Below are 6,259 nucleotides of genomic sequence, written 5' to 3'. Positions count from 1 at the left end.
CCCGCCCCTGCTTAGCAGCGTTTTCCCGAGCCACGCCCCCTAATAGTGCAACAGCTCTTTTACTGAGAGCGGTGGGTGGCTCTGAAAAGAGCCTTTGGGTTGTGTTGGGCTTCTAAGCAGTTGGCCAAAGGAACTTTCTACTTTTTCTTGGCTGCCGCCTTCTTTGGCTTGGCTGCCTTGGGCTTGGCGGTCTTTGGTTTAGCCGCCTTGGGTTTAACTGCTTTGGCCTTCGCTGGGCTCTTGGGCGCCTTTTTTGGCTTGGCTGCTTTCGCCTTTTTCGGGCTTTTCGCTTTTTTGGCTCCAGCAGCTGCAGCCGGCTTCTTCGCCTTCTTTGGGGTCTTCTTGGCGCTCTTCTTGGGGGTGGCCGCCCCCGTCGCCTTCTTGGGCTTCTTCGCCGCTCCTGCTGGCTTCTTGGCCTTGGCCGCGCCTGCCTTTTTAGCCTTAGGCTTGGCTTCCCCAGAGGCCGCCTTCTTGTTGAGTTTGAAGGAACCCGACGCGCCGGTGCCCTTGGTCTGCACCAGGGTGCCCTTGCTCACCAGGCTCTTGAGACCCAGCTTGATGCGGCTGTTGTTCTTCTCCACGTCATAGCCAGCGGCTGCCAGCGCTTTCTTGAGAGCGGCCAAAGATACGCCGCTGCGCTCCTTGGAGGCGGCAACAGCTTTAGTAATGAGCTCGGACACCGGGGGCCCAGACGCTTTGCGCTTGGCCGCACCTGCAGACTTGCGGGCCTTCTTCTTCACGGGAGTCTTCTCGGCAGGGGCCGGAGCAGCGGGCGCGGCAGGCGCAGTCTCGGACATGTTGAAGGCAAGCGTGAGCGAGAGCAATTCGAGCCGGAAGCAGAGGCACTGGCCGGGACTCGAGCCGCGGCGCTGCGCCCGCCCGTTTATATAGGGCGGAGCTGCGCCGTGATTGGTGCGCTGTCCAGCCCGCCTCGCTGGCAGCCGCAGAGTGTCCTCTCGGATCCCGAGTTGTGTTTGTTACACCTCAAAAAAAGCCAAAAATATAAAAATTGTCTACACCGAACTGCCCGGTTTTTCTCAGATAATGATCCCCGAACCCTCAGGCTTCACGCAGATCTCAAATTATAAGGGAAGCACAAAGCCTTGTGCCAAAAACTTGCAATATTTCCCGCCGTGCTTGGCAAATTTCAACTCAGAGAAACAAAACTTTCTATTTTCTTCGTAAATTATAAACCGATCTTTAACTGTGGACTTTTCTGACCTCTCAAATATGATACTCCAAGTGGTTAGCTTCTTATATATCCAAAAAGCATGCCACTGGCATTAAGATTTTTATTACAAATCTGCACTTAAGTGAGGGAAGTAACACAGGCTCCTCGGAGAGTCCTGCCTATTGAGCCGAGGGCATTTGAGTTCATCAAACTGGTTTAGTTTAATGCCAAACAAATTATTGCCCATTTGAGATTAAGTTTTGGACCCCTGGGACATCAATCTATACAGCCATGGTTTTACATCTGTCCGCTACATCTGAGTTTTTAAACAATTCTTTGGATAATTCTTTCCCTTTCTGCTCCCAAGGGTTGGGGGCGGGGCTGTTGCTTCTCTCTTCCTCTGGACAATTGCTCCATGGATTGAGATACCTTGAATTCAGGGTATTTGGGAACGAAGGGAAGTCCAAAATGTACTCAGGGTACAGAGATGAAAAAGGATTAATTTTCAAATGTGATGTTCATAAAGTCACTGGAAGTGGAGGTGCACTTTACTTTAAAGCATTTGTCTGCAGCCTTGCTGAGTGCTTTTGGCATATGCTTCAGAACCAAATTGCAATAAAGTAGCTTAGAGCTGAAATTCAAGCATTGATGATAAGGCAAAATAAATAAGAAACGTAGATTGAAACATCTACTCCCATTATTAGTGAAACCCAGCCCCTATTATTACTGAATAGTTGAGGAATGACTAGTCCACTCACCACGTATGGTTTCAATCCCCCTGAAGATTGTATTCCAATGCTTCCCAGAGCTCAATAGAAAGAAAAATAAGTGACATGTAGTGATTAAACGACAAGTTCAAATTTCGATCTCAGAAGTAGAGCTTTGAGAGTCTATCTAAGCTATTATAAATCATTGCCCTCTGAAAACATCCTTTGAACAATGTCTGAGTGAATTTCTTTAGGTAGTTGCCCAATCAAGAAGAGTGTATGTAAGCTGGCAATGAAAGCCCAACCAAAAGAATTATTTCTGGTCCGGGCGCGGTGGCTCACGCCTGTAATCCCAGCACTTTGGGAGGCCGAGACGGGCGGATCACGAGGTCAGGAGATCAAGACCATCCTGGCTAACACGGTGAAACCCTGTATCTACTAAAAGTACAAAAAATTAGCCGGGTGCGGTGGCGGGCGCCTGCAGTCCCAGCTACTCGGGAGACTGAGGCAGGAGAATGGCGTGAACCCGGGAGGCGGAGCTTGCAGTGAGCCTAGATAGTGCCACTGCAGTCAGGCCTAGGCGAAAGAGCAAGACTCCGTCTCAAAAAAAAAAAAAAAAAGAATTTTTTCTGAAAAACGATATGGCTGGAACAGTATGGGTGGAACTACAAGCCACTTATCATGGAAACAAAATAAAATTTTGCCCAGTGCTATAAGGTGATATGATACTGTTCTGTGGACGTGGTTGATTGTAATATGGCGTTGGATATCATTTTAAATTTTAATTTCATTGCCCAAAATCTCCAGACACAAATTCTGCTACTGAAATAAGGAGAATATAGAATTTTGATATAACACGAGTGAAATGTATCAAAACAGTACTGTTTAATGTTGAATTTGTTATAAAAGTGATGTAAATTATCAATGTTTTTAATATCTTGATGTGTATTTTCAATCTAATTATTGCACATCAGTGCAAAAATAAATATGCCCTTTGGTATTTATTGAAATAAAAAGGGAGATGGATAAATCTCCAAAACAGACTAGGGAAACTGATTATATGGGCATTTGATTCCAGAATGGTAATATTATACCTATTTAATGACAACAAAAACCACTCCTGTAAATGACTGAAACTTACACAACACATGGAAGTTTGCTTTCACATGCCTCACTTTATCCAGTGTATTCCTCATGGCTAGGAAGGAGTTAAACTCTCCAAATTCTGTGGTCTTTCAACTTCCACTGCTTGCCTCCTTAAGGTGTGGTGTGTTTTCTTTACTTTACTTTTCTTTTCTTTTTTTGAGACAGAGTCTCACTGTGTCACCCAGGCTGGAGTGCAATGGCGCGATCTTGGTTCACTGCAACCACTGCCTCTGCCTCCAAATGCATGGGCTGGGAGAGGTGGCTCACGCCGGTAATCCTAGCACTTTGAGATGCTGAGGCGAATGGATGACTTGAGATCAGGAGTCCGAGGCCAGCCTGACCAACAAGGTGAAACCCCATCTCTGCTAAAATAAAATAATAATAATAATAATAATAATAATAATAATAATAGTTAGGTGTGGTGGTGTAATCCCAGCTACTCGGGAGGCTGAGGCAGGAAAAGCCCTTGAACCAGGAAGGCGGAGGTTGCAGTGAACGTGCTCTCGAGCCTTGGTGACAGAGATTGAGGATTGACCACTATGAAATCAAGCATCTATTTGACACTTGTCGGTGATGAAATAGGAACAATAACAAAAGGCCTTACTTTCTTATTGGTCAGCGGGCTGGCTATCTCAGAACTAGGCGTGTGTGCACACACACATGTTCATGCATGTGTTCTATTTTTTATTTTGTTATTATTTTTTTGAGATGGAGTTTCGCTCTTGTCACCGAGGCTAGAGTGCAATCAATGGAGCGATTTCTGCTCACTGCAAAGTCCACTTCCCGGGTTCAAGCGATTCTCCTGTCTCAGCCGCCCAAGTAGCTGGGATTACAGGTGCCCGCCACCACACCCAGCTAATTTTTGTATTTTTAGTAGAGACAGGGTTTCACCATGTTGGTCAGGCTGGTCTCCAACTCCTGATATCAGGTGATCCACCCGCCTCGGCCTCCCAAACTGCTGGGATTACAGGTATGAACCACCCAGTCATGCATGTGTTTTAAACATAGATTCTGAGGCCTTGCTCAAGATTATTCTGACATAATAACTCTTCAGTAGGTCCTCAGAATCTGAATATTTATCAGTTTTCTCATGCCACTCTTATGCCGAGCCAAGTTTGGCAACTCTGCTGAACTCACTAGAGATGACCAATAGGGCAAATGTGCTTCCTGTCACGTGAGTTCTCCCAGGGATTTCTGGGCGTGTCTGTGAGATCTTAGAAAAGATATCCATGCTGAATATGACCATATATTGGAAAGACGGGGACAGCATTAGTCCAATCTTGACTTCCTTTGATTCACACCTGGCTGGCCACTATAGTGGGCTGAAGAAGGAGAAAGGAGAGTAACTAAAGTTAAGCATCCAATGAGTCATTATTTTCCAACCACAGAAGGTAGACTGAACCTTGGCTGCTTATGGACTACTTGAATCCTCTAGTACAGCATCTACATTCCTTATCCATTTTATCATTTTTAATGATAGTCATCCTTCCCATTTGTTGGCTACTGTACTACATGCTATCTGAAATTTTTTTTCCCCCACAACTGGGCTGCAGCCTGAGTTACCTGCATTCTTACTTAGTCAGTGTAACAATCCTCTGTTATGGATAGTATTTCTACTTTACAAAGTAGGAAATGGACATGCAGAGGTTAACAAGTTCTCTTGAGAAAACTGTTGGTAAGAGGTACATTGCAGATTCCAGCACACGTTGGTTTTACTTCAAAGCATGTATGCTTATTAAACAGTGTTTTCTCAAACTACAGGTCTGAACAAGCATGAAAAGTTGTGAAATCAGTTTAGTTGTCAAGGACAAAATATTTCTCTTTTTAGTGAAATAGAATAGAATATAAAATACCAGTTTTCGTTGCATGTAGTTTTAGTTATATACACAAATCTTGGTGTGTTAGGCCCCTTAGTAAAAGACATTTCTACTGTGCCTGTTCACATGTCCACAGTATGTCTTCCTTGTGCAATTTCTTGAGCTTTTATAGTCATAAAATATTATCAAGTATGTTATTCTTTAATGAGCTAAGAAAGTAATTTGATATCATTGACATTTTTAAAGTCTCTAAGGTACCCTGAGTGGTGGAAAATGGGGGACACTCTAATTGTTTTTATTTTGGACATGATAGCAGTAATATGCAGCTACAAATATGACTATGAACTAAGGGGAACAATGTGATTTGCAGAAAAGTTGAAATAAAAGAGAAGATTGTGCTTGGTTGCTTTTACCTCACAGTTCTGCAGTCAAAGAGCTTAATTCTGAATTTCTGTATTTTAATATGATGTTACCATGATTGTTTCATTAAAGATAGAGTTTGGAAAAGAGGTGCTTTATGCTAGACAGATGGACTATATAGTATCTTCAACATTGTTTCCTTTTTACTTAAGTCAATAATTAACACTGTGGTTTGCACACCCATGGTTATTCATCACAGCAATGTTTGGAATTATAAAATATTTCAAAAAACTTTAATGCCCCACATAAGAGAGTGGTTGGATAAAGTAGGATGCATTTACACAGTGCAGTAATATGCAGCTACAAAAATGACTAAGATCTCTATGAACTAGTATCAATTCCAGGATATACATTTAAGTGATAAGGCAAAGTCCAAAAGAATATACTTAATATAATGACCTTTGCTGAGAAAGAAGGGAGTATAAGAAAACAGACAATTTTCTATTCATTTGTGCAAAAGAAATATAGAAAACTAAACCAAAAACTAAAAATCATTGACTACCTATGGGAGGTGGATGAGAAAGAAACAGGTGGAAAGAAGGGGGAATGGGAAAAAACAGTAAGGATAAGAAGGGAATGACACTTTTTTGACTATACCTTTTCATATAAGTGACCCTTACAACTATAGTAATGTTTCATATGCCAGCAAAATAAACTATTAAACAAACGATTAAAACTGATAGAAATGGGGGATACAAAATGGAATACAAGGAATGAAACAAATAAACCAAGCTGTATTAACTTAATAACATAGTAACATTTAAGGGAGGGAAGAAGATAAAAGTTAACCTAAGTAACATTGGAATACAATACTAATTGCATACTCCCTGGGCAGGCACGGTGGCTTACACCTGTAATCCCAACACTTTGGAAGGCCAAGGCAGGCAGATCACCTGAGTTCAGGAGTTCAAGACCAGCCTGGCCAACATGGTGAAACTCAGTCTCTACTAAAAATAAAAAAATCAGCCAGCTGTTTTGGCATGCACCTGTAATCCCAG

At 42.8% G+C, this 6,259-nt stretch overlaps 1 protein-coding gene across 1 annotated transcript, besides 5 other annotated features; it reads right to left on the bottom strand.

Moving 5' to 3' along the window:
• Positions 16 to 65: a silencer, noted in NCBI's record as "silent region_17001". NCBI's record gives its function as "represses an Ori minimal core promoter by ATAC-STARR-seq in GM12878 lymphoblastoid cells {active_cell/tissue: GM12878}" and the evidence as "EXISTENCE:reporter gene assay evidence [ECO:0000049][PMID:35858748]".
• H1-4 (H1.4 linker histone, cluster member) lies at positions 73 to 859 on the bottom strand. Its single transcript, NM_005321.3, has one exon. The coding sequence runs from the start codon at positions 795 to 797 to the stop codon at positions 138 to 140; it is 660 nt and encodes a 219-aa protein (NP_005312.1). The 5' UTR covers positions 798 to 859; the 3' UTR covers positions 73 to 137.
• Positions 356 to 435: an enhancer, noted in NCBI's record as "active region_24194". NCBI's record gives its function as "activates an Ori minimal core promoter by ATAC-STARR-seq in GM12878 lymphoblastoid cells {active_cell/tissue: GM12878}" and the evidence as "EXISTENCE:reporter gene assay evidence [ECO:0000049][PMID:35858748]".
• Positions 356 to 1,131: a biological region, named in NCBI's record as "NANOG-H3K27ac-H3K4me1 hESC enhancer GRCh37_chr6:26156285-26157036".
• Positions 380 to 1,131: an enhancer, noted in NCBI's record as "NANOG-H3K27ac-H3K4me1 hESC enhancer chr6:26156285-26157036 (GRCh37/hg19 assembly coordinates)". NCBI's record gives its function as "activates a minimal SCP1, AML or CMV promoter by ChIP-STARR-seq in primed H9 embryonic stem cells {active_cell/tissue: H9 hESC(primed)}" and the evidence as "EXISTENCE:reporter gene assay evidence [ECO:0000049][PMID:30033119]".
• Positions 696 to 855: an enhancer, noted in NCBI's record as "active region_24193". NCBI's record gives its function as "activates an Ori minimal core promoter by ATAC-STARR-seq in GM12878 lymphoblastoid cells {active_cell/tissue: GM12878}" and the evidence as "EXISTENCE:reporter gene assay evidence [ECO:0000049][PMID:35858748]".

Source organism: Homo sapiens, chromosome 6 (genome assembly GCF_000001405.40).
Source record: "Homo sapiens chromosome 6, GRCh38.p14 Primary Assembly".
NCBI lineage: Eukaryota > Metazoa > Chordata > Mammalia > Primates > Hominidae > Homo > Homo sapiens.
Note: the sequence above shows the minus strand (reverse complement) of the source record. Positions and strands in the feature narration are given on the sequence as shown.